The sequence below is a fragment of the Homo sapiens genome, chromosome 2 (assembly GCF_000001405.40).
Source record: "Homo sapiens chromosome 2, GRCh38.p14 Primary Assembly".
In the NCBI taxonomy this organism is placed as follows: domain Eukaryota; kingdom Metazoa; phylum Chordata; class Mammalia; order Primates; family Hominidae; genus Homo; species Homo sapiens.
The window spans coordinates 54,664,075-54,691,711 of record NC_000002.12 but is presented as its reverse complement, the minus strand read 5'-3'; the positions used below and the strand labels follow the sequence as shown (position 1 = coordinate 54,691,711).

The 27,637-nt window shown below is 42.7% G+C and overlaps 1 protein-coding gene and 2 long non-coding RNA genes across 14 annotated transcripts in view, besides 1 other annotated feature; 1 reads left to right on the top strand and 2 right to left on the bottom strand.

Moving 5' to 3' along the window:
• LOC105374653 (uncharacterized) lies at positions 6,686-17,330 on the bottom strand. Its single transcript, XR_940104.2, has 3 exons — positions 17,077-17,330; positions 9,957-10,156; positions 6,686-6,952 (listed from the first exon to the last, which is right to left on the bottom strand). It is a non-coding gene; the product is annotated as an uncharacterized LOC105374653 (long non-coding RNA).
• On the top strand, positions 11,667-27,540 carry SPTBN1-AS2 (SPTBN1 antisense RNA 2). Its single transcript, NR_186176.1, has 3 exons — positions 11,667-11,888; positions 26,871-27,114; positions 27,264-27,540. It is a non-coding gene; the product is annotated as an SPTBN1 antisense RNA 2 (long non-coding RNA).
• Positions 17,906-18,200: an enhancer, noted in NCBI's record as "tiled region #11587; HepG2 Activating DNase matched - State 14:Gen5'". NCBI's record gives its function as "activates a minimal TATA promoter and a strong SV40 promoter by Sharpr-MPRA in HepG2 cells {active_cell/tissue: HepG2}" and the evidence as "EXISTENCE:reporter gene assay evidence [ECO:0000049][PMID:27701403]".
• The window catches only part of SPTBN1 (spectrin beta, non-erythrocytic 1), a 215,120-nt gene continuing 207,748 nt past the window's right edge, over positions 20,266-27,637 (bottom strand). For all 12 annotated transcript variants that reach the window (NM_003128.3, XM_017004781.2, XM_017004779.2 and 9 more), the window contains 4 exons: positions 27,021-27,259; positions 25,624-25,797; positions 24,066-24,108; positions 20,266-23,361 (listed from right to left, as the gene is read on the bottom strand). In NM_003128.3, coding sequence (NP_003119.2) covers positions 23,143-23,361; positions 24,066-24,108; positions 25,624-25,797; positions 27,021-27,259 — 675 coding nt within the window. In that variant the 3' untranslated portion in view covers positions 20,266-23,142. The remainder of the gene's footprint in view (positions 23,362-24,065; positions 24,109-25,623; positions 25,798-27,020; positions 27,260-27,637) is intronic.

Genomic DNA, 27,637 nt, shown 5'->3' with positions numbered 1-27,637 from the left:
CTGAGCCATTTAAAAACATATGTCACCCCGGTGCAGCTTTGTCCTCACTGACATGTCTACCAAGAAGCCTGGCTGGCTGGTGTTCCAGGCATTGTATGTCATATTTCTGAAAATGCTGACAGATTGTTTCACAGAATATTGTCATAATATCGTGTTACTAAATCTTGAGTTGCCTTCATGGTAGCACATTTTTGCAGGAATTGGTCTTATCCTGTTAGGTATCTATGACTATGTTTATGCTTAATCCCTGAAACTGGGAATTCAATATTTCTGAATGATAATTAACATCTATAGATTTTGATGTAGTTTTAATAATTGAATCAATATTTCTAACAACTTTATTAAATGCATTAATGAGATGCAAATTCCTTTTATTAAAATAAAAATGTGTATTTTTTTATTTTCTTTTTTGAGATGGAATCTCACTCTGTCGCCCAGGCTGGAGTGCAGTGGGACGATCTCAGCTCACTGCAACGTCTGCCTCCCAGGTTTAAACGATTCTCCTGCCTCAGACTCCCGAGTAGCTGGGACTACAGGTGCCCGTCACCACGCCTAGCTAATTTTTGTAGTTTTAGTAGAGATGGGGTTTCACCATATTGACCAGGCTGGTCTCGAACTCCTGACCTTGTGATCCACTCGCCTCAGCCTCCCGAAGTGCTGGGATTACAGGCGTGAGCCACCGTGCCCAGCCTAAAATAAAAATTTATTAAATGTAATTATGAAACTAGAAAACTATAAAGAAAACAATTCACCTATAGGAAAAGTATGAACATTAACAGTGACCTGGTTAAATAAACTGTAGGATAGCTACACAATGGAGTTTTATTATTTACCAGGCTGTCTGTTAGTTTCTAGATAGATATCTGTTTTCTACCATACAGTAGGACTTCAAAAAATGTTGAATGAATAACTTGTAAATATCTTATGTGTGTGTACCTCTGAAATGATTAAAAAACTCTAAATGAAACCAATTTAAATTCAGATATACTTCAACATACTAATGTTAATGAAAAATGTTTTATATAACTACAAAAAATGAGCAAGCTAAGTACTGATATGGAAAGGGTTCCTAGATATATTATTATGTCAAAAAAGCAAATTTCAGAATGATGTTTTTGGTATGCTACCTTCAGAGTAAAAGGAGGAAAATCTATATGTGTATCTGCATAGACCCATAATATTTTAAAATCTAAGCACAGGGTTGGGAAACTGGCACTAGGGGAATAAACACAAGAAGGAGACTTTCCACTATACACTTTTTATACTTTCTGATTTTTAAACCATCGGAATATACTACCATTTGAAATACAATTTAATAAGCAAAATTTGAATCTATTTATGTTTTGCCTTTACACTTCTTTTGCAACTAATGAAAATGAATATTTTTTCGTTTGTGTGTTGACCAGTTTACTTCTTCCCTGAGTATGTTTGCCCATATTGACATCTTAGAGGCTTTGCTTTTTTTAAAAAAAAATCAGCAAATGTTAAATCTTCTCCACCCTTTACAGTGGAGATATTTGCCCTCTGTCACCTGATTTTGCTTTCCTTTATGTTATTGCATTTTAGAGTGTGAAGTTTTTATGCATTTGTATCTACTCTTACATGCTTTGACATTGCTCCCTTCCATCAGAGGTCTGACAAAGATTCCTTTCCATAATCTAGTTTGATAATTTTTGCCTTTTTGAAATTCTCATTAATTCATTTAGAATTAATTTCTGTGTGCAATTAGAAGATGAATAGTTACTTTTAAGAGTATCTAATCTTTCTTTTCCCATTGATCATATGAACTTCCTTATAGTATTTTTGGTTCTTATGCATAATAATGTTCATTTATGTACTAGCTGCTATATTCTATTCCATTGATTTGCATCAGTTCCGCTGACATGCATCAACATCATAGTCTTTATCACCGATTGAGAATATTTTTTCACAAATGGTGGTGCTAGTACCCACCATGATCATCACAATCCTTTTCTTTGATGCTATCTCTTGTTTTATGTTTATTCATTCTCTAGTTCAGGTAAATAATTTTAACTTTCAGAAACATTCTGTTTTTTATTGAGAAGTGGTCAAACCTATAAGTTAGATTGAGTAGAATTCATTCCTTTAAAAAAGAGCATGGTTCTTGTTTCCATTTAGTCAAGCTTTCTTGTCACCGCCATTTTGTTTGATTGGTTGGTTTTCTTCTCTTGGGTCAAAAAAATTTCACATCAAAGGTATTTCTTGGTACGTTATGGTTTTTGTTTCTATTGTGAATGGGATCTCTTTTTATTATATTTTTCTGATTATTCTTTATGTGGAAGAGTGCTATTGGTTGTATATTGACCTCGAATGTGGTCCTTTTGGTGGCTCTATGATCTTACTGGGAAATGATTTCCCATTTAGGTTTTCTGGGATTAAAAGTTGTCTTGACATTTCAATTAGCCCAAAATTCTGTTAATTCAAGGAGGGGAAAAATCATTAATGGTATCACAATGGGCAATCAACTAGTTGGTTTAAATGTTTACTTTCCATCAGTTTTAAGGTTTTGTGGACACACCCTGTACTTAAGGGATGTTATCATGGAACACTGCAAAAACAGAAATGCAAACATATGCCAATGAACTGCAAATACCTTCTCAGTCCTTGATTTAGGTCTGATCAGTGGCCTCAGTTTACTCTCCTCTCACTCTGTTTTGACAATCATAGGTCAGAAAAGTGAGAATCCTAAAATGGAAAGGAAATAGAAGACAGCAGAATGACTGAATTTGTGGCTGGCTGCAATTATCTGCCCAGATGTCTGAATCCATTCTGCATTTAATTGATTCTACCTTATCACCTTTGCACAGATAAACATTCCTTAGCATCAGAAAGATATTGGCTTCATGGAGACTTCATATCCAGTGCTGCTACGGGACATACCCATGCTGCTTTCTTTTCATCTTAGCCAAGAAGTGAAACAAACTGAGAGGACTCAGGAGTAGGGAGAGAAGGCAGGGAAACAGAAAGCCTTGGTGTGGACGAATACGTGTCTTAAGAGTAAAGTAAAGGACTGATGTCATCCATCCCCTGTGCTCTGTGTATGCTCCAGCATCTAGAAGTCAGATTTCCCCTCTGATACTGACTGAAACTTCCTGCCTTCCAGTTGTTAATGGCCTGCTTGGGGTGTTAACTCACATGCATCCCCATCTCCTGACAAAGGTGAAGAGAAAGGACCATAACATGTGAGCAGCTATATTTGTTTCAACTCCCAAATCTTAGTCAAGGCAGACAAGTGAAATGTCAAGATGGAGTAGCGATTTAGCAGAGGACATGTGTGCAAGTGGCACACATGCATTAGTAGGCAGGAGTATTTCCACTGAGCAACATCAGCTCAATGCTAGGAGTTTCAAAGCAATGTAGCCAGAAAAGAGTTAAGAGAAATGACTTATGCCCTGAGAAGCAGTGGGATTGGGGAGGATGCTAGAAAAAAAGGTCATTTTAAAAATAATAGTAAAGTACAAGAAAAGTGGCAATCTCTGCTTCAAAAGTGGAGCCAGCCATCTACCTGGGAGGCTGAGGCAGGAGAATTCCTTGAGATGGGAGGTCGAGGCTGCAGTGAGCCTTGACTGCACCACTGCACTCCAGTCCAGGAGTGCCAGCGACACCCTGTCTCAAAATAAAAATAAAATAAAATAAGAAAATTAGAGTCAAGATGCACAGTGGCAGACTCTCTAAGAAGCCCACTCACACTGTCATAGCTTGGTGTCTGCAAGGCCAGAGGAAGCAGGTATTCAATTGCTTTTCTTGTTTTTCCTTTCTAACCCTTCCTCTTCCCAGATGACTACTTTCTTTGTGGTTTGCTCTGCCATCAAATCAAGATGAACCATCATTCTCTGTTACTTAAGAAGTGAGGAGTTCAAACCAATATCCTGTCTTGGTAAATCTGTTTTTCCCTCAAGCTATGAGCAGACCTGGCCACCTTGCATCGGGGTGCATGGGTCTTATCCATGCCAGGGAAGGGCCTTGCTTGCCTTGTCACCACTGCAGCCCCAGAAGATGACAGTGCATGGCACCATTAGACACCTAGTAAATATGTTACATGAAGACCTGCCCTACACTATGTTTTCGATTTTGTTATCTGCTTATTTCTGCTGCTCCACAGGACTTCCTGTTCTTTAGGACATTGGTTCAGACCTAGGGTCTGCTCCAGAGAAAGAAGGGATTTTTATCTTCCACCTTCTTTTCCTTAGATACAATTGAGTCTCTGCTATCGTTTTTGGCAACACAAAAAACATTTTTTTTTCCCTGAGAAAATGGATTCAGGGAGGGAGATTCACTCATTTTCTAAATTTGGTGGGAACCAAGGCCATGCCTTAAGGAACCACCTCCTTTCCTGGAAGCAATGGTGCCAGCTACAGCTGCTAAGAGGACTTCAACTCTACCCAGGCTTTGAGACCCCCAGCCACTAGGAATTTGAAATGGGTGTGGGGAGATGGACTTTAAATTGACTTTCATTTATTTGAACTTTAACTCACAAGGGCAAGATAATTTGATTTCAGATTTTAATACCTTTGGACTTCAACATGCAAGTAGGTCTGTTCTTTAAACTTTTATTTCTCCCTGAGAATTTACTGCAGAAGAAGGATTTATATCCACATCTGGGGCCCCTTTAAAATGTTTGCATTTTGTAGGCCAGGCGGGGCGGCTCATGCCTGTAATCCCAGCACTTTGGGAGGCCGAGGAGTGTGGATCATGAGGTCAGGAGTTCAAGACGAGCCTAACCAACATGGTGAAGCCCGGTCTCTACTAAAAATACAAAAAAAAAAATTAGCCAGGCATGGTGGCACGCCCCTGTAATCCCAGCTACTCGGGAGACTGAGGTAGGAGAATCACTTGAACACGGGAGGCAGAGGTTGCAGTAAGCCGAGATTGCGCCACTGCACTCCAGCCTGGGTGACCGAGTGAGACTCCGTCTCAAAAAAATAAATAAACACATACATAAAATGTTTGCATTTTGTTTTTTGGAGTATCTTAATGTTATTATTTCCTCTTATTGCAGAACTCCTAGTGATAGACAATGGGATTGGACCTAAACGGGGATCAGAAACGGGAGAGGGAGTACATTTTCAGCTTTGTGTAATAGCGACCTTGGAGCTTAATGTACTGTTCTGACCCACGTCAGAACCTTCTGGGGACAAAATTTAAGCTACCCAGCAGATTCTGTGGGGCCTGAAGCTTATACAATTTGCAGAAAGGGAGTGGTTTAAGAAAAAAAAAAAAAAGAACATAAAATGATGAAAACAAAATTAGGTATAGGGCCTTGGAAGGAGCCTGAGCAAGTGAAGGGTCCTGAAGCTTCCATTTTGTGATAAATCCACCCCTGCTGGCCAGCAGCAGTCTAAGGGATACCCAAAGAGACAGTGGCTAGCTAGTCCACACAGACAGGAGCACGACCCTCCTCCACGTGGGCTGCAGATCTTGTCTCCCAGGAGAGCCACATCCCTGGATGACCAAGGGTGAGTTGTTGCAAACTCACCTAAGATGATTTGGTTATTCACAAGAGACTTCCTTCGTGAATGTCTATGGCTTATGTTATAACCTCACTATCAGGTTATAATGAAAGTAAGTCCTTTATTGAATTCTGCCACACATAGAAATATTTATTAACAAGGAGGCACAAAACAGTTCTACAACTTGTTCTGAAAACTCAGTGAAGTCCCAGCTCCATTCTGTGCATAGAAAGTTAACTAGATGGGGCTGGGCACGGTGGCCATGCCTGTATCCCAGCACTTTGGGAGGCCAAGGCGGGTGGATCACCTGAGGTCAGGAGTTTGAAACCAGCCTGGCCAAACATGGTAAAACCCTGTTTCTACTAAAAATAAAAAAAAATTAGCTGCCGTGGTGGTGGGCACCTGTAATCCCAGCTACTTGGGAGGCTGAGGCAGAAGAATCGCTTGAACCTGGGAGACGGAGGTTGCAGTGATCTGAGACCATGCCATTGCACTTCAGCCTTGGCAATAAGAATGAAACGCCATCGAAAGAAAGAAAGAGAGAAAGAGAAAGAGAGAGAGAAGGAAGGAAGAAAAGAAAGGAAGGAAGGAGAAAGAAAGAAAGAGACAGAGAGAAAGGAAGGAAGGAAGAAAGGAAGGAAGGAAGGGAGAGAGAGAAAGAAAGAGAGAAAGAAAGAGAGAGAGAAAGAAAGGAAGGAAGGAAAGAAAGAAAGAAAGAGAGAGAAAGGAAAGAAGGAAGAAAAGGAAGGAAGGAAGGGGGAGAGAGAGAGAAAGAAAAAAAGCTAGAGAAAGAAAGAAAAAGAAAAAGAAAGAAAGGAAGAAGGAAAGGAAGAAAGAAAGGAAGGAGTTAACGAGATGGAAACGTGACAGTCTCCTGGTGGCAGGATATAGTCAGATACAGGCACAAGGACCCTCCAAGCCAATTGAACACAGGGCAGTTTTGAAATCAGTCAAGCCTCAGAGCCATTCTAAAGGGAGTAGACTATTGAGAAGCTTTTAAAAATTGTTAATATTGATTTTGTGTTTTTTATTGCACAACGGTTTTGGGTAACTTTATTTTGATGTAATTTTAAACTTAGACTAGTACAAGGAACTCCTGTGTATCCTTCATCCCGATTTAACAATTATTCACATTTTTTCTTATTTGCTTTATCATTCTTTTTATTAATATTTATTCCAGATCATTTGACAGTACATTGGAGATATCATGCCCTTTTGCCACTAAATGTAAGTGTCTTTTTCTAAGATGAACATTCCCCTCCATAAGAACATTTTTAATATCAAAATCAGAAAATTTAACATTAATACAAACCTATTACATAATCTACAGTCCATAGTCAAAATTTGTCATTGTCTCAGTAATGTCCTTTAGGGCTATTTCTTTTTCTTGGCCCAGGATCCATGCCAGGATTGCACGTTGCATTTAGTTACGCCTCCTTTCATCTGGAACAGTTCCTCCATCAGTTTTTGCCTTTCCTAACCTTGACATTTTTGAAGAATAAAGACCAGTTAGTTTAAAGGATAGTCTTTATTTGACTTTATCTGATACTTTCTCTTGATTAAATTAAGGCCATGCATTTTTGGCAAAAATATCACAAATGAAAATGTGTCCCTCTGGGTGTATCATATCAGGAAGCATATGAAATTCGTTTGCCCCTATAGTGGTGACGCTAATCTTGGTGATTGGTTAAGGTGGGGCACTCCAATATTCTTCAGAATAAAGTTACTACTTTCGCCTTTGTCATTAATAATCAATACCTGGGAAGATACTTTGAGAGTGTGTAAATACACAGTTTGTCTTGAAACTCTCACCCCCTATTTTGGGCAACATTGATGATTTTCTAATTTCATCATTTTTTCTATGTTTTATTGTTGAATTTCTATCACAATATAAGCAAAGAGCTTTTCCTTCTTCATTTATTTATTCATTTATCTGTATCTGTATGAACTCATGGAACTTGACTTGGTTTTATTTAATGGGTTATAATCCACTACCACCAAAATTTTAAACCTTATTTAGTGAGTAGGATTGCCTGTAATTTTCAACCCTCATCTTGATGGCACTCATTTGGACTGAAAACTCCTGTTAGGCTAATTAACAGAGCCTCTCTTGCTAATCAGGGTTAAAGAGAACCTGGAATTAGGAAAATTGAATACTCAAAGAGTGTAGATTAAAGCAAACTCACGTATTTATATCACAGTACCTAGGCTGAAGAATTTAAAGTACATGTAAATTATAGAACACATAACTTAAGTGGTTATACGTGATAGGTCAACAGAAGAAAAAGTTGGGTAATGATAAGAAAAAATGTAACCCCACTTGGAGCTAAATTATGGTTTCCACTTCCTGTCGCCACTTATTCACTCCACCCTGAGGCAATAGAGTGGTTTATCTGATGGGAAAGGGCAAGCCCAGCTCAGCCCCTTCCCATTTTGCTCATGGAAACTCAGCTTGCCTGCATGGAGCTCATGTTCTCTGCCCTTGGCCAAGCTATAGGCTTAATAACAAATGTCCTGCCCTCATCAGAGGAGACCTGAGATGGTCCAGTACCTTCCATAACTGGGCAGGTATGTCTATTGTATGCTCAGCTTCAGATATAAGCACAAAGGTACCTCCCACAACCTAAACTTCACCAGTAATAAAGTTGATATTTTGGCCTTCATCCACATACCTCTTATTTCTCAGTTGGTTCAGAACATGAGAGCAAATGATAACAATACAATGCTCCAAAAATAAAATGAAAACATTATAAAAAGGCTCCAGGTGTGAATACAAACCCTATTCTGTTACAAATACTCAGGGAGAAATGAAAGTTTAAAGATTATATCTACTTGCACAGTAAGGTATAAGACAGCAAAGTCCAAATGAATTACATTTTGAATGGTCAATGATAAGGAACTTATCAAGAGCTGCATCACTCAGTGGACTTTTCACAAGATTCTCTTTCACAATAGTAACCATCGCAATCTTCAGAATCAAAAGCTCTGTCCACCCAGTTTACAAACTCTACCAAACATACGCCCCGCTACCACCGATCCCATCCCATCCCCCCTGGCACCAGCACCTACATCTGAATGCAGATATTTATGCTGGACTGAATTCTATGTAAACAAAATAAAACTTTGAAAAACAACAGCTAAAAACCCTTGGAGTTAAAAAATGGCAATAATATAATGTGTGGTGCTAGTGGAAAAAAAATAGAAAAACGTTAAGAAACTAGAAATGGGACCCAAATACAGAAGAGGATGATAGAGTGAATTAGTGAAATCAACAAGGACTGATTCAAATACAAATTTACTTTAGCTGTTTATTCATTCAATACATGCCTATTGAGTGCCTGCTGTGGATTAGGTTTGGGTACTCTGTGCGCTAGGTACAGGGGGTTCAATGGGAACAAAATAGACATGAGTTTACCTTGTATTTTTGTTAAGAGACAAAATAATGCTAACTGTACCAATCCTGGTGTTTAGTAAATATTAGATCCTCAATGAAAATCAGTTATTAATATTTTAATATAGGAAAACAGGGCCAGGCGCAGTGGCTCATGGCTGTAATCCCAGCACTTTGGGAGGCCGAGGCAGGTGGATCACCTGAGGTCAGGAGTTCGAGACCAGCCTGGCCAAAATGGTGAAACCCCATCTCTACTAAAAATACAAAAATTAGTTGGGTGTGGTGGTGTGCACCTATAGTCGCAGTTACTCAGGAGGCTGAGACAGAAGAATCGTTTGAACTTGGGAGGCGGAGCTTGCAGTGAGCTGAGATCATGCCATTGCACTCCAACCTGGGCGACAGAGCGAGACTCCATCTCAAAAAAAAAAAAAAAAAAAAGGAAAAGAGGTCAAATGGAGATTGTTTACTAAATAGTATTAGGTAAATAGTATTAGGATAACCGGCTAGAGATCAGGGAAAACAATTGGTAGAGGTACCCCTTATAAAAGACATCAAAACAAATTTCAGAAGAATTTATTTAAATTTAAACATGGTATTAAAAAGCACAAAATAAATGTGTTATCAGATCTGTGAAAGAAGATTCATGTCCTCAGTTTTGAAGAAATAAAACCACAAGGAAATGAACAGACCTTAATACTGAAACATAAATTTCATACAAAAACAAAACAGCAGACTGAGGGAAATATTTCATTTGGTGTAATTGATAAAAGGTAAAAATCTGGAGAAAACATTTCAATTTATAAGCAAATCATAGTGATGCCAATAAATAAGCAGACTAAGGATGTTGCAGTGGATAGCTTCATTGTTTTTTTGTTTTTGGCAACTGTGGTAGGCAGAATAATGGTCTCCCAAAGATGTCCACATCCTAATCCACAGAAACTACAAATATGTTTAACATTACATGGCAAAGGGGGATTAAAGTTGCTAATCAGCTGACCTTAAAATAGGGATTGTATTAGTCTGCTTTCACACTGCTATAAAGATGCTACTCGAGACTGGGTTATTTATAAAGGAAAGAGGTTTAATTGACTTACAGTTCTGCATGGCTGGTGAGGCCTCAGGAAACTTACAGTCATGGTGGAAGGGGAAGCAGGCACATTTTTCACAAGTCAGCAGGAGAGTGGAGCAAGGAGGAACTTCCAAACACTTACAAAACCATCAGATTTCCTGAGAACTCAATGACCACAGCATGGGAGAAACCGCCCCCATGGTCCAACGGTCTCCCTCCCTCGACCTGTGCGGATTACAAATCAAAACGAGATTTGAGTGGGGACACAGAGGCAAACCATATCAGGGAGAGTATCCTGGATTACACAGGTGGGCCCAATATAATCACAAGGGTCCTTGAAAGTAGATGAAGGAGGCAGAGGATGGCAACAGTGATGCAGTGTGAGAAAGACTTGATCACTATTGCTGGCTTTGAATATGGGGAAGGGGTCATGAGCCAAGGAATGTGGGCAGCTTCTAAATGTTGCAAACAGCAAGGAATTGAAATTTCCTCTAGAGCATCCCAAAAGGAAAAGAGCCCTGCCAACACCTTGATTTTAATGCAGTGAGTTTTTGTGTCAGACTTCTTACTTATGGAAGAACTGTAAGATAATAAATTTATGTTGTTTGAAGCCACTAAGTTTGTGGTAATTTGGTATAGCAGCAAAGGGAAATTCACACAGCCAGCTACTTTTTAAACGCTGTTCCTGTGTTTGCAGAATCTGTAACCTCAAGGGGCAGAACCTTCCTTCTGCAGAATATGAGGTCTTTTCCCAGCTGCACTTGCAGCAAGGGCACAGATCCATGGCCAGTATCTGTCAATTGTACACCTGCATGATTTTGAATTAGAGGCTGGTCATGTGCAGAGGGGAGCCTGGCAGAATCTGTTCTGTGAGGGCAGTGGCAGGGACAGCTGTCACTGCAGCAGCGTGTTGCTGTCAAAGACAGCAATTCCCACAGCAGGGTTTGCGCACAGTATGGTGTCATGGTGGGCACCTGGCAGTGTCAGAGTCCAGTGACGAGTTCCAGGAGCCTGCCCTAGGCTGGACTTTGGACATTTTTCCTGGCTGTATAAGCCCTAAGCCTGGTGCCCTTGTCCTCCTGGAGATTCTGGGAGCCTTAATAAGTTCCTTTTCTGCTAAATTAGCCAGAGTTGGTTTTTGTGGCTTGTGATTCAGAACCCTCAGTAAATCAGATATGAATGAACAATTCAATTCACTCAAAAAGAAAGTGGTGACACATCCCTGTAGTCCCAGCTCTCAGGAGGATCGATTGAGCCTGGGAGGTCGAGGCTGCAGTGAGCCGTGATCATGCCACTATACCCCAGGTTGGGTGACAGATAAGACCCCATCTCAACAAAAAGGAAAAAAAAAAGCAAGAAGAAAGAAGAAAAAGAAAGAAAGGAAGGAAGGAAGGAAGAAAGGAAGGAAGGAAAGAAAGAAAGAAAGAAAGAAAGAAAGAAAGAAAGAAAGAAAGAAAGAAAGAAAGAAAGAGAAAAAAGAAAGATGACAAAAACAGGAGAAAAAGTTGACCCTAGCTAGCAGTCAAAGAAACTCACAGCTTGAGGTGCCATATGATAGTTACTAAAAACAAAAACAATTGTTTCTGTAGCACAACAACGAGAACAGTTCCTCAGATAATGTCATTTCATTCAACTTTTTTTTTTTTTTTTTAATGATGAGAAAAAAATTGATTCTCTGCCAGGGCCACTGTCTGTGTGGTTTGCATGCTCTCCCCACGTCCACAGGGGTTTTGCTCTGGATGCTCTGGTTTTCTCCCACCCCTCAAAGAGGTGCATGTTCAGTTCACCGGCATGTCTACATGGTCCTGGTGTGAGTGTGGGGTGTGTGTGAGTGTGCCCTGCGATGTGACAGTGTCCTGTTCAGGGCTGGTTCTTACTTTAAGCCCTGAGCTGCTGGAATGAGCTACAGCAACCGGAGACTGGAGACTCCGGCAACCTAGAGAACTGTTATTATTGAGTAAGTTATCTTACTTGCTTTTATTTATCTTTCTTAAATGTATGTATAGCTCATATTTATTTCAGTGGTTAATATCAGAAGTGTTTTTTTTTTTTGAGACGGAGTCTCACTCTGTTGCCCAGGCTGGAGTGCAGTGGTGCAATCTTGGCTCACTGCAACCTCTGCCTCCCAGGTTCTAGTGTTTCTCCTGCTTCAGCCTCCTGAGTAGCTGGGACTACAGGCATGCGCCACCATGCCCGGCTAATTTTTGTATTTTTAGTAGAGACGGGGTTTCACCATGTTGGTCAGGCTGGTCTTGAACTCCTGACCTTATGATCCACTCGCCTCGGCCTCCCAAAGTGCTGGGATAACAGTCATGAGCCACCGCGCCCGGCCTTTGGTTTTTATTTAGAATTTTGATGTGTTTGTGACTAGAAATAAACCATAGGAATATTAATTTGCTTGTGGTAAAATTGGTGTTACTTACTTTCAGATTGCAAGAACATATTGACAACCTTAAGTGAGGACTGACTGTACCTTTGTTTATAGCTAGTAACTAAATGGATACACTGTTTGGAAAGTAATTTGGAAAGGAGTAATAGGAATATTTAGCAAAAATCTGTAAACGTGTCCTTAGCTTCTGACCTGGCAATTGCCAAGAAGCTTGGGAGGGTGTTTGGTAAGATAAAAATTATTTGTGTGCTTGTGTTTGAAAATTATTGATGTGGGCTTACAGTGTGTTAAACTAGGGGTGATAAAATTTGCATTAGGACCCCAGAAGCTTTTAGAGAGCAAAGAGATTAGAACCTATATTCAGTTTCCTGAAATGTAAAGTGACTGAAGCTGTCAGAGCGGCTGAGATCAAGGCTCTCTCTGAGGCTGGGCAGGAGAATGACTCCCCTGGGAGAACATTTCCACAAGGGGAAAGTGGTTAGTAGATGCGTACCCTGCACCAAGGCACGTGATTAAAGGGGAATATGGTCTGTGCAGTAGCCATACCAGGGGGCAGTTTATGCCCCCAGAAAACTGCTCTCAAAAAGAACCAAGAGCTGTAATTTTGGGAACACAAGCCTCTTTGGTGGAGAATGGTGTTATTGCTAAATGCTCAGCATCTGGGGAGCATTTTAATGCCTGATGCTGCATCAACTTGTGGAAAACTACCAATAGTCCTTGAAATAAGCATCACAAAGTCTTGTAGAAACACAGCAAAATGTTTATGATGCATATGTAAGTAAAAATTGTATGCAGAATAGGTACTTGTGATGTTTAACTATGTAGGATTTGAGGCATGTGGGCCAGTGGGTTGTTAGAGTTAAAAAAAAAAGGAAGAATGCTTTTTTTTTTTTTGAGACAGAGTCTCTCTCTGTTGCCCAGGCAGGAGTACATGGGCATGATCTCAGCTCACTGCAACCTCCACCTCCCAAGTTCAAGTGATTCTCGTGCCTCAGCCACCCAAGTAGCTGGTATTACAGGCGTGCACCACCAGGCCTAGCTAATTTTTTTTTTAAGTAGAGATGGTGTTGTGCCATTTTGGCCAGGCTGGTCTTGAACTGCTGACCTCAAGTGGTCTGTCCGCCTTGGCCTCCCAAACTGTTGGGATTACAGGTGTGAGCTACCACACCTGGCCCAAGAATGCTTTTATCATACTGTCTTTCCTGTTCAAAATATTGCATCTCTTACCAACATGTTTCACTAAAAAAACATGAGGTCACCAAATGCCTATTTAAGGAACTGAATTTTTATTTTTAAAAATAAAGTCCCCCAAGTGATGCTACTCATCTGTTTCTTTGGGGAATCCCAGATGCCTGAGTTAATGGTCAGAACATCATTTGGCTGGGAAACAATCCATATAGGTGCAACTGTCCCTGGGTGCGTGGCCCCGTGATTGGGTGCAGCTCCCTCTCAGTCAGTTCTCACTGTCTTATCAAGACTCCATCTCTGAAATCTTGAAATGCATCTTGAAATGCAAGGATCCTTAATCCATTTATTCCTTTGACAAACAGAAAATGAGCCCTTCTGTCTGTTCACGCTTCCCCTCTTTCCTCTTCTGAGAAATGGAGGTCTAATTGCTGGCATGGGAAAGAGCCTTGTTTTAACCGTCAGCTCCGCCCTAGTGGATGGAAGACAGGGTTAGCATGCCCTGTTTTTCATACAGCACCTGGGCTTGTAAAATGGAACTAAAGAAGGAAATGATGACCAGGCATCCAGAAGTCAGCTCCTGTCTTTCTATGCTCTGCTAGAAAAGAGAGGTTGTGAGCTGAGGGACATCAGGAGAGCAGGAAGACCTGCAGGAAGAGCCGGCTGGGCACCCAAACATGGCTGTACCTCAGAAGATGCCTGTGCAGTTCAGAACTTGGAGGAGATGGGGCCGCAGGTGCTGAGGAGGCAGCAAGAGTCAGATGCAGTGACACAGGGGAGGTCAGACATCACAGGAAAGAGCAATGATGGAAGTCAGGGAACGAAGGGGCCCTGTGGCCAGTTCAGGGGGCTAGAGTGAAAATCTGACCTATCTCAGCTGCAGCCCATCAGTTCCTGTAGCTTGTCTTCACATCCTTTGGCTAGAAAGCAGATGAAAGAAAACCTGTCCACAGAGGCTGTGGGCTGAGCCTCTCCTCCCCACTTTTTAAACACCAGACACCGACATAGGCTTTATGCTGAGCTGTGATTTATCTTGCCAACCTTCTGAGGCTACAGAGTACCCAGCTGTTTGGAGGGTCCTTCTGCCCTACCTTTCCTCCTTCCTTACTTCTTTCCTTCCATCTTTTCTTCCTTCCAAATATTTATTGTGTCCCCACCACACACTCTTTATCTGAACTTAAATTTGATCCGAAAAGGACTTCAGCATGTATTGACAGTTGAAATCCAGGCAGCTACAGATTTGTAAGGCCAGTGAATCAGGCATCAGCTATCCTCTAATTACATTGCACATGTATTTGAGAGCAAAGCTTGCACTTGCATAGCTAAACTCTAGAGTCACATGGATGCTCAAGGAGTCAGTGAAGAGCTGTGGCTTCAAGAACCCAGCCTTGCATGGCTGTTGAGTGGACATGACACTGGGTATCCAGTCCTTTCTCTGAAAGCCCACGACTGGGGCAACAGCTTACACACATGAGATGCCCTCTCAGCTGGCACTGGTTCCATGACCATCATTCCTCAGCCCACAGAGAAGTGCAGGAAAAGAATCTAGGTGGGGGACAGTTAGTGTAGTCTGAGAGTGTGGCCTCTGGAGAGATGTGTCAGAATTCAAATATCCAGCTGCGATTTGTACAAGTACTTAACTCTTTAAGCCTCTGTTTTCTTCTTTGTACAATGAAGACATTGCCTGGTAGAATTGCTGCAAGGATTTGATGAGAACGCAACTTGAAAACTTAGCACACTGCCTGGACAACCTTATAGTTGGTTACCTATTAATATTAGCAAGATGAAATCATTCCATTTGGAGGAAAACAAATGGTGGAAACAAAACCAGTGGTTCAGAGTCCCATACCTAAATCACTGACTGATTTTTTTCAATCAGTTGTCCTGACAGGTTCAGATCCAGCGTGAGCTCCTGGCTTCTCTCCCTTTTCCTATGCAGTGTGTTCACACTCACACATCCACTTGTTACACAGCGCAGGATGCCACTGAGATCCTGAACACACACCTCCTTCTCAGCTCAAGATATCAAGGCAGCTGAATGGAGATGAGGCAGGGGGAAGGTCAGTCCTGGGGTCAGCCAGACCGTGTTAAAGCTTCAGAGCACTGTGGTCTTGGTTCTACCAGCTCTGGCTTAGCTCAGTCTTCTTTTCTCTGGGCTGACAGTTCAGGTTGTGGGTCTAACAACACCTCACTAATAAGTCTCTACCTCACAGGGTCATTGTGAAGGTTGGAACGAGTTAACATGGGGAAAGTGCTAAGGGCAGCACCTGACTGACGCATACAGTAGGCGCCTGGCCAAATGCTGGCTGTGTCAGAGCCAGAGCAGAAATGGTATTCCTCTTCGTTCTGCGCCAAGTGCTACAAGGACAGCCGCCACTAGTACTGGTGCCCGATGATCTGAGACACGAGGGGGCCATCAGGTTATGTTCCAGCTACAGCGCTGCTCCCCCTCCTTCCCCGCTTCCTGAGGCAACTGTGATAGAGAAATGATGGAAATCGTGTGTCACAGGTGAAAAGAGAACATAAGGATGGGTTCATCTTCGCAAACTTTTCTCCTATGGAATTGAAATTTTTTCCCCACCTGAGGAAAGCCAGACATTCTGCCTTCTCACCTTTTCCAAACACCAGTGGCACCCTCTTCCTTTAAACCCTCATGCCCGAGTAAATGGCTTCCCCGGGACCCGGGCTCAGTGTCCCCAGCCCAGTCACCCTCCTATCTACAGCGAAGCTCTCAGGCACATGGGACACCCTTGGCTTTTGGGTCATCAGTTCTCTGGGTAATTTTACCCCCTGTCAGAGCTGGAGACTTTGTAAATAATAGGGTGCTGAGCGATGAGGGAGCTGCAACCCCGCCACGGGGCCAGGCAGCAGGGACAGTGTGCACCACACAGATTGTTTCCCAGCCAAATGATGTTCTGACTCCTCAAAGAAACAGAAGTAGCGCCTTTTGGAGGGCCTTATTTCAAAAGAAAATACTTTCTTAGGCTGACTTTTGGTTAATTTGTAAATTTACTGCATTCCCATATCAGCTCCTGTTGCTGATGAGCTGTGCCAGTGTCTGAAGTAACCCCCCAATGCCTGGTGGAGAAGGGAGCTCGGGAGGTGGTAGCAAGGGGAACTAGACCCCTAGAGGTCCTTCCTGCTTGTTAACCTACATTTGCTCTCTGAAGCCAGGTATGCCCCAACTGAAGCACCTCGGAGGGAAAACACGGAGGTGGTGTTGCGGGGGTGGGGTGGGGGGTTATCAACACCTGCAGTCAGGGGCAGCCTTGAACACAGGAGCAAATATGCTTTAAAATAAAAGAGGCTCCTGCCTGACAGACTACCATGGGAGAAAAGGAACCGATTTATGGAGTGTGGCGTTCATCAGTTCATTTAATCTCCTCTAGAGGCCAAGGCTCAGATGAAGCAGACGAAGAGGAGTCTCACATTTGTAAGCGCCACAAGGGCTGCTTCCCAGCATGGCTGGTGCGTGGTGGGTGCTTTGCAGAGGGGATAAGGGAGTCTTTTTTTACTTGTCACGGGGCTGGGAGGTGAAGGAGCCACCATTCAATCTGGCTTCAGAGCCTACCTTCTTTCCTCAGAAGAGCAGAGGCTGAGCAAGCTGGATGAAGTAATCCAATCATGTGTCCCCAGGAAAGACAAGAGTCCTCAAATCCAAGTGGGGAGATGACAGACCCGTGTAACAGATGGCAGCTAGGAGAAGGCCCCGTATGCACGCCTGCGAGCACTGGCTCAGAAACGCACGCTCCTTACAGCCATTATTATTATTATTTTTGAGATGGAGTCTCACTCTGTCGCCCAGGCTGGAGTGCAGTGGTGTGATCTCGGCTCACTGCAACCTCCGCCTCCCAAGATCAAGCAATTCTCCTGCCTCAGCCTCCGGAGAAGCTGGGAGTACAGGTGCCCGCCACCACGCCCAGCTAATTTTGTTGTATTTTTAGTAGAGATGGGGTTTCGCCATATTGGCCAGGCTGGTCTCAGACTGCTGACCTTGTGATCCGCCCGCATCGGCCTCCCAAAGTGTTGGGATTACAGGCGTGAGCCACCAAGCCCGGCCACGGCCATTTTAATTAGGGCTGTGGACATTCCCCTAAGATGGAAGATTAAAACCTTGAGCGACTGTTTCCTCCGAAAAAAAACAAAACTTGAGGAACAGGAACACTGGAAATAATTCACTGTGACGGAGAAACGTAAATGATGACCGAAGATGGAGCAGATTCCCCGGGAGAAATGTTGTGAGCCAAGACTTGGCCTCAGCTCCACTGGAGAAAGCTCCCAGGTTCCCGCCCAGCGCCCAGACTCCAGAACACAGGATGCCCCACCCTGTGGAGAAAGTCGCTGCGGGCTTATGTAAGGGAAATTCCCCTTCCCTTTAAAGAACCAGTTTCAGGAAACACCACTAACGTCCTGCCTCCCTGATTTCCACTCCCGGACACAATGGGTCTCCACCGTGTGATAAATATCCGAAAAGACAAGTCAAGGCCAAGTGGAAACATACGCAAGCCACACGCCCCTGCGGGCCCCAGCATGGCCGCCCTCCAGGATGTCTGTGCTGAGGCAAGAACGCACAGAGCCCAGGCTCACCACGGGGAAGCCACAGGCCTTGTGGGTGCCGGGTAAGGGAGTGAAGGGAGCTCCTGCCAGCTTCTCTGAGTTTCAGTTACAGAGTCCTATGCCTATGTGTCCTCTTCCTGCTGTGACTCGGCCCTGACCATAAGAAAAACCAACCCTGATAAGTTACACCAGGTTGAAAGGAACACTGAAAACACAGGTCAGGCAATTAACGCCAGGGGCCGTAGAAAACCCGGGCATCCCTGAGGAAGCAGGTCTTCCAAGCTCCCCTGCACAGAAGAGTCAAAATGAGGCATTACCTTGGAAAAACTTGAATTCTACTCAGTAATTCTATCACCCACTATCACTCTCCCAAATCAGCCCAGTTCACGAGTATGAGGGATTGGTGAAGCTTCTTCAAAACTTGAGTGAAAATGCCCTGAACCGCATGGAAGAGAAGCGTCAGCTACTCACACATCGTGATCCCTATTTACATGAAAGGGAACAAGCAGGACCTTTCACTTCTGTTTTCTGAAATGCTGCTTTTAAGGCTGACCTTTCACACACACACACACACACACACACACACACACCCCACAAAAAACAAAAAAACATTCAAAGCTCAAATAGGATATAACATTCTTTCTCACAGGCAGGCCAGTTGAATTTTCCTTCTACAAGTTGAAAAACTCGTTTTTCTAGGGTGGCCTGTGTTCTTTAAGTTGGGTCTAAACCTTGAAAAACTTTGAAGCTCACGTTTATTTCTCCCCGAGGGAAATCTTTATTCAGTTCTGAAAAGTAAAAAAGAGCACTTCAAGTACTTGATCCAGAGAACTGGGAGGCGGGTTCAAGAAAGACACACACACACACACACACACACACACCCTGCATACCAAGGGAACGAGCTTCAGCCAAAATGGGAGACAATGACATAAGGCTGGTTAAATATATGAAGATTTGTAGAAGACTGAATGAGGGCTCAGAGGCAGAGAGTAAGAGTTACTTGCTCAGACACTGCAGATGAGGTGAAACTACCTAAAAATGGGGCTGAAGGGGAGAATGGAAAGACCATGTAGAATAAGTGTTTTTCAAAATTCTTCTCAGCACTCCTGGGTATTTCTTTATCCCAGATTAATGAAGATTTATGTTCATAGGAAACCCCAAACATAAATGTTTAATATAGTTCTACTCCCAATAGCCCAAACTGGAAACAACCCAGATGTCCGTAAGTGAATGGCTAAAAAACTGTGGTACATCCATACCACAGAATATTATTCAGCAACACAAAGGAATGCACTATTGATATACACAATATTACTTGGATAAATCTTCAGAGAATTACGTCAGAGAAAAAAGTCAATCCTGAAAGGTTACATCCTACATTATTCCTTTTATACAACATTCTTGAGATAAGAAATTTCAGTGGATCCCCAAAACTCAGCACATTGTAGGTGCTCAATAAATATTTGTTAGGGGAAGAAAACGACAGGTTTCCAGCAATAAAGAACAGACTGGTGACTGCCAGAGGTTGGGGAGGGAGTGGAGGTGGGAAGTGGGTGTGGTTATAAAAGGGCAACAGGAGGTACCCTTGTGGTGGCAGGAATGTTCTGTATCTTGACTGAATGTCAATATTCTGTATGTGATACTATACTATATAGTGTTGCAAGCTACCACTGGGGGAAACTGCGTAAACAGCACTGTATTATTTCTTACAACTGCATGTCAGTATACAAGTATTGCAAAATAAAGAGTTAAAAAAAAAAAAAAACTGTTCTCAGTTATTGGTGGTGGTAGTATTAGTATTGCTATTCTGAGTTTTTATAACATGGAATAAAGCAAATGAATAATTTTAAACTATTCTAGTGGAAAATGAAATATTTCACCATGATCTTCAATAGACAGAAATCTCTATTGAGCTTTGATGGAAAGAAGTCTTTTTTCTTCTTTGTTAAAATATGTTTTTGTGTTATGGACCATGTTTAGAAAGGTCAATTCAAAATTATAAAACATATTCACCAAAAAACGAGGATTTCACCAGAAAACTCAAATATATTTAAGCCCATAAATTCATAATATTTAAAAAATTGTTCATCTTTAGAGGATAGGAACCAACTCATAAATAACGCTGATTATAGGAAAGTAATGCAAATAATGGGAAAGACTCCAGCATTGATCCTGCCTTTTCTACATGGACTGCACCACTACATGAAGGGAAGTATGTCTTTATTTAAGAATTCCGACTGATAAAACAATGTATCCAGGGGAACTAACATAGGATCCCCATACACAAGCAATTCTAACAGTTCCAGGAACTTGGTGAAATGACAATGTGCCCATCACCCAGTCTGATACAGTGTTTCACCTACTCAAGATGCCAGGAATTGTAAGAAGCACAGTCACTGGCACTCTCGGTACACCCAAAAAAACCACAGCCAGTTCCGGAAGTGCCATCAGAAGATGCATCCCAACTTGAGATGCTCAAGTAGGACAAAAAGTGGCCTTGATTCAAGTGACAACGCCATTTCATATCCTAAGCCTTATTTTCACTACTTCTTACTCTTCAGATTTATGGAGGGGCCAGTATTGTCACCCATATTGTATCACTGAAAATCAGGGTAAAATAGCACAGCATTATGGCAACAAGAAATATGCAAAATCCTCAAAAAACATGATAGTGGAAGAATAAAAAAAAAACAAAAAACCCAAAAACTATTTACCCTGCCAGGCTTGAAGCTCATCAGGCTGTGCGGCCTGTAACCTCTGATGGCGAACACGTCTTGACTGGGGTCTTCTGACGCTCCTCTCGCTGCCCATCATCTTCCACATTCAGGCCTCAGTGGATCCTTATCAAATGCACCAAGAGAGAGCAAATACCACCAAACCCTGGCTTCATAACTACAGATCTGCGAACTGTTGAAATTATGTGCACGATGTTCCACATGTACGTATTTATTATGGGACTCCAGGATTGCTGGTATGAACTTATTGCCATCTGCACAGCTTTGTCAAGAGTACAAGACTGTAATTAATCACAATTGTTTCCAAGATACTTTGCCTTAACTAAACATTTTGGTCTGTTGAGAATAGAACAACTTGATTCCAACCCTGAGCATGGCAAGGGCAAAGGACTGTCGTGGGAAGCAGGGGAGAGGATGGTGAGGTCTCAGTTTGCCTAGAGGTAAGAGAGTTAAGAGAAAGCTTTGATGCCACGCAGCTGTGGAGCCCAGGGCTGATGCCACCTTAGGCATGGTCTTTGTGGAATAACTTACTGGACATCCATAATACTAATATCCATTGCTGCTTTATGCAAGTGGCATGGAGTCAACATACCCAGATAACCCAGGAAAAGTATGTCACTTGTAAATAACCCACGACTCTATGCTGAAGTCAGCAAACTATGGCCCATGGGCCAAACCTAACCTCTTGCCTGTTTTTTTTTTTTCTTCTTTTTGGTCTGATCTGTATAAAATAGACTTTACATTTTGAAATCATTAAGAAAATCAAAATATTGTATGGCATGTCAAAGTTATATGAAATTCAAATTTATGTCCTTAAATAGTTTTACTGGAACACAGCCATGCCCAGGCATTCACATACCGTCAATGGCTGCCTTTGTATTACGCAACAGCAGAATTGAGCAACAGAGACAGTTACGGCCTACAAAGCCTAAAATATTTACTATCTCTGTCCCTTTACAGAACAAATTTGCCAACCCCTATCTCAGAGTTCAGGTTTCACAAGTGCTCTGGTAACTTTTTCATAAATAAAAGATAAAGCCTGAATGTATAACTACAAAACAGTCACATTTATTACTGTTTGCTGTAGTTTTCAAAGCTTGTGCACCAGACATGCATAAAAAATGCAAAAGTGAGCCCAGACTGGTTGTAAAATGTTTCTTGTTTGTCATTTCTCCCTTTGCAGTTTCCCTACTGGGCATGCACACGCAGCAGAGGAAGAACAACAACTAGTCACCGTGCTAGATTTAAAAGCATTTAATGACATAGCATATATTTAACAGATAGGGCAAAAGTTGAGAGGTACAGGTCGTACGACTGAGCACCAGGCCTGAGCGACCACCTCCCTGTTCAGGCCCAGCCTCTGGAGTTCATTCCTATCAATGTCATTTTGATTGTGCAGTAAGATGAAAATTTGTCATTACAATAGTTACAGTGACAGAGAAATGCACACTATGTATCAAATAGCAAGGAAATGAAGCAAATTATAACACAGTGTGGCAACGCACGAGCAAGTAACCATTAGAGTAACATTACTTTGTCCAGTAAATGCTTCAGTTCCACCACTTGTACACTTACCAATGATTTAAAGGGTTTATTATACATCTAGTTTTATTATACTTTGTACTAGAATTATCTCAAACGTACAATATAATGTATTTCAGCAAAAAAAAAAAATTGAAATTACAGATTATTTAAAACAGTATCAGTTTTCTATTCCTTCTTGTATACTGACATTCTTAACCGTCATAGCAGTTGATGCAGAAAAGCCGCATGTCGTGTGTTAGTAAGTGATGCCAGATACAAATGGTTTGGTCTGTAGAGTTAATGTGGAGCTGCACTGTGGCTGCAGCAAGATCATAATATGCGATCTGTTTAATAAAGGTTAGCCCCATCTCGGGCACTTCTAAGAGTCAAGAGTCAGGGTAACCACCAGAAGTAAATGGAGAGAGAATGGTGTCAGGATATTGGTACATTTTGCCTCTGGTGAGCACAGGAAATATTGATTAAGCACCGCTGCCTTGCATACCAACAGCACTAGAGGCGGGTTATTTCCAACACAGCCTCACAAAATTGAGGAACAGTTTAAATACTGAGATCTAATCTATATAATTTCATTAAAAAAAAAATCTGGCCTTCCCTCTGCACCTCAAACTTTTGTAACTTGGAGATAAAGTGTTTAGGTGTGTTTCCCCCACCCCCCCCGAAATGCTCTATAAATTAAAAAAAAAAAAAAATCAACCACATTGAGGAACATTAGGCACAGAGAGTAATGTGTTGGTTCTGAGCTTGCATGCTGGAATTTCACTGAAAAGGTAAGAGAAGGGCAGGAGGTGAAGGAAAGGAGTTCATTTCTTTTTGCCAAAAAGGCTGAACCGCTTCTCTTTGTCTTTCTCTTTGTCCTTTTCCCGCTTGCCGGGACTGGACTCGCTGGTGATGGTGACGACGCTGGTGGGGAGGGTCTGCGCGCGGCTGGATGCTGGCGTGCTCTGGGTGCTGGCAGACACCTCGTGTTTATCAGAGGAGATGGCGGAAGAGATAGCCTGGATCCATGTGTTCATTTCCTCCTGGACAGAGGAAGGGACACAGGTGAGACTCAACTAAGAGTAGGCATGAGGGGTTCTGGCTCCAAGGCTTGGGAATGGCGCATCTGGCCAACTGAGGGGTAAGCAGAGTCACTTCTGGGCACTGTCCCCAAATGCACCTCTGCCTTATCAGTACAGGAGAGGGAACCTGGTTCAGCTTCTCATGAGAATTCAGTTCTACTCATCACCCTAGTATGTGGCCCTACAAACTTGTAACAGCTGGAAGACCAGTCTCAATCTGTGAGGTGGTCAGATCCCACCCTAGAAGGTGCTTTTTCACATTTAAAGCATTACAGGTGTTGTTTTTCCATCAATGGACTCTCTCTTTCCTTGAGGTGAGGTACACACCCATTAAACAGCTGGCTGCTGGCGAAGGGTGCAGCGGGGGTCCCATCATGATCCACAACCAGTCCTGGGACCACCTCACTATGCCTCATCCCTGGGAGGGGACAGGCAAAGATTCCATCGACTTTAAGGGATCCTGCCTCGGCAAAGGGACAGTGAGATCATATTCACTGCCTTCTAGAGACAGAACCAAACACCTTCTAGTGCTGGTGACTGGAGCCCAGTGATAGAAACCATCACTGATCATCATTTACATGAAGAACTTTCTGAATAAAGCCCATCATCACACAAACACTTGCAAACTCCTAAGTAGTGGAGAGAAATAACATTTAGAAACTTACATCGTCTTTGGCTTGGAAGAGGTACTCATTGCCATCATTTAGTCTGTAATTTCAAGGAAGAAAGTTAGTCACCACTTAATTACAGAGAAATAAAAATCCCCCAACTCCCATATCCCATGCAGGACAGAAGTAGACCACAGGAGTCACAACAGAAGCGTCAACCTACATATGTCACCACCAAGCCTGGGGACCCGCCCAGGCCCAGCAACAGACCCCTGGAGATCAAGAAGCCATATAATCGCGCCAATGATACACACAGGGAGCCTGTGCTTCAATCCAATGGAAGGATTTTAAAAAGCCCCAAACATAACATTTGGGTTTATTGTGGCAAAAATCACTTGTGGATGCCTGATCACTTACTGGTCTAAACTGAGTTCAGGAGAAAGCTTTTGAACACAATGAGCCCTTTTGAAATTCTGCTACTGAGCTTGTATCCCCTACATTCACATGTTCCAGAGTTTCAGAATAGGCAAACAGAAAATGTCCTTCAACTTTTCTTCTACTGTATGTCTCAGAATTAAGAAGCCCTATTAGTGTGACACTGGGAGGTCCCCAGGCTTGGAAGGGTCACAGGTTCACTCTGTGGCTGCGGAGAGGACGAGGGTACTGTTGTGTAACACAGGGTAGGGGCCGTTCGCTAATATCCCAGCTCTCTGAAGCTGCATGAAGGGAGTACAAAGGGGAAAGCAGCCAAGGAGCCAGGCTGCCGGTGCATTGTCCTACAAAATGTAAAGTGTTCCAGGACCCAAAGAGCCTGCCTGCACTGCGCAGCAGCAGAGCTTAATAAATCAAACCATCTGACACTCTCTCCTCTGGAGCCCTGGGCCTAGTCCAACTGGCATGAAACATACAAATAAATGGAAGACCAAAGCTTTTCAGATCCCAAAGCAACAGCACAAATCAGTAAACAAGCATTCTAACCACTTTTTACAAGATAAAATAATTTTTCTGCCTACTTCCAAGTGTGAGGAGAAATTCTGAGCTTAGCTCCACTCTGTAGGGAGATACATGTATCCTACAGGGTAGAGACATTTGGAACTAGATGGTTCTGAGACAGCTGGAGCATCTGCTGGGAGAGTCAGGGGAGGACAGGGTCCCAGGCCCCACCCAAACATTTCCTGTTTGTCTCCATCCAGCTCCAGGATGACTCACTTGACCCATCTCCAGATAATTCATGAGCAAAGAATAGCATCTCCTGGGTCGGGATAAGCTGAAAAGATGGGGAAACTATTTTTCAAAGCCTCCCTTAAACTGTGAAATGTGACTAGCTCTCTTTAAGTCTTAGGGAACAGTAAGTGCCTGGTTATAAAAGCAAAAGCTCCTTATCCTTCAATGCTCAGATGTACTGTTAACCACAGGGAAGCTGGTGGCTGGCCACAGTTGCCAAAGAATTCAGCCTAACCGAGACACGTGCCAAACTGGTTTTTCACTTTATTGGGGATTTAAAATGGCAGAAGACAGAACCAACTAATCACAGCAGCTGTATAAGAAAACCAAACCCCAGAGTGGAAGTAAATGCAAACCCACTCTGGCAGCCATGAAGCACGGCGACTCTCACCTTAGCTTGAATACGTGTTTCTTCTTTTTGTAATCAAGGGCCACTTCGCAGACAGCTTCTTTCAAACTCACAGGGACCTCGCTGTGGTAGGGAATTCCAGAAGCAGCAGTCTTTGCATCTTTGTAGAAACCCATTTCTTGGTTATTTATGACACAATAAACATTGTGCCAGGACCTGTGCAGTTTAAAAAAAAGGGCAGGGGGAGATAAAGGCTCTACCACATTCCCCTTAAAGAACTAAACATTTCATTAACATGAAAATGATCCTCACACAACACAGTGTGACCCCACCCAACCCTCAACCTTCCTTATTACAAGCCCTTCCTAAATTCTGCTAACACTAAACAACAGAAAAAATTCCTCCATGGAGAGTTCAGGGACAGGGCACAGGGCAAGTGTTTGAGGACTATGTCTTCTCTTTCACTTCGGAGAAAAGCAAGTTACCCTCTTGTACTCTGAGCTCACTTTGATTGGTATTTAGTACTCTTTGCTGTAGCGCCCTCTTATGGTCATGAGCTAAAGGCCATGCTCCTGTCTGAAAACATGCCTGTCCTCCAGCAGCAGCTCCTCCAGCTGCGGATTCATTACTTATGTGACTTGGCAACTTGACAGAAAGACAGACCCAGAGCCATCAGCACTTACAGTACCTTTGGGTGAATTAGAATAAAGTGGCTTTTCCCCTATGGTATGGCAAACTGTCCTAATATACTAATTTTAACAGAACACCGGCCTGTATTACACCAGCATGTATTAATATATAAATCCCTATGTTGTCCTCAACGTGAATGGCAGTTCTTAGATGTTCTGATCCCCTCACACAGCAACAAACTGCACAGTAAGATATGGTGGTCCCAGGTGGTTGGGTTTACTAGTTAAGCACATAGGCTTTGCAGTTTCATATTCCAGCTTTGCCATTTACTAGGTTTCCACAGAAAGAAAGCTTTGTTAACCGCTCAGAGCCTCTGTTCCCCATCTGTTAAATAAAAAAATTGGGGCTGTTGAGAGACAATGAATATATATAAAGGCTGATATGGAGATCAGGGCAGGGGAAATGGTTAATGGCTTTTTACAAAAAACCCACAAGGAGTCCTAAATGAAATCAATCACTTAAAGTAAAGAAGACTCTTCAGTCTCAATCTAGCAAATTCCTTCTCTAGATGAACTACTAAAGCCCCTTCTAGCTACTCCCATCCAAACTCAACTCTTCTTCTCTCAGTGAATAACCAGCATTCTACTCCTGCTTTCCAGCGTCAGCCCAAGAAGAATGCAATGTCCAGGAAGCTACCAAAGGAATAAAACTACATGAGCACATACTTCTCTTCCAATTCAAGAGTGGCCCGCCTTATCCCTTCACAGGCTGACTTCCCATCTTACTGTGGCAGCCTCTGCTGCTGTTACCTGCTTGAGGCTTTCTTATTGTGGGCCTCCCACTCGTGTTTCCGATTGAGGAAGCCTTCCATCTGGGCCGAAGGTGTCTCCTGGGTTCTGGCTGGTAAGGTGGCGGCACTCTGGGCTGGGAGGGCAGTCTTGGCTTTACGATCAGAGGTCGGGGAGGGGATGGGGCTGGACTCTTTAGAGCTCGTCCTTTGTTCTGTAGCGCCGTTGACCATTTCGCTTGTGTCCACCGTTTCTGCCATCTAGGGACAGCGGAGAGGCCATTCAGCTAACTCCGTGAGCCATGGGGGTGACCACATACGCTCTACCTGACTCGCACATGTGGCTGTGTATAAATGCCTGGCACAGATCGAGGCAGTACAGTAAAACCATTGCACACCCACAAAGCCAGCTGGACATCAAGGACATTAGAAGGTGGGAATGGATTAATACCCGCCCATTTACAGGGAAATGAGAAAAGCGAAATGCCAGTATGAGTTTTACTGCACTCTATTCCTCTGATCAATAAATATAACTCAGATCATCTCCTCTTATGGTTACTTTAAAACAAAAAGACAACAGTAACAATCACACATATTAAATATGAAAGAGAGTGGACGTTATACAGCAGCCACCTTACA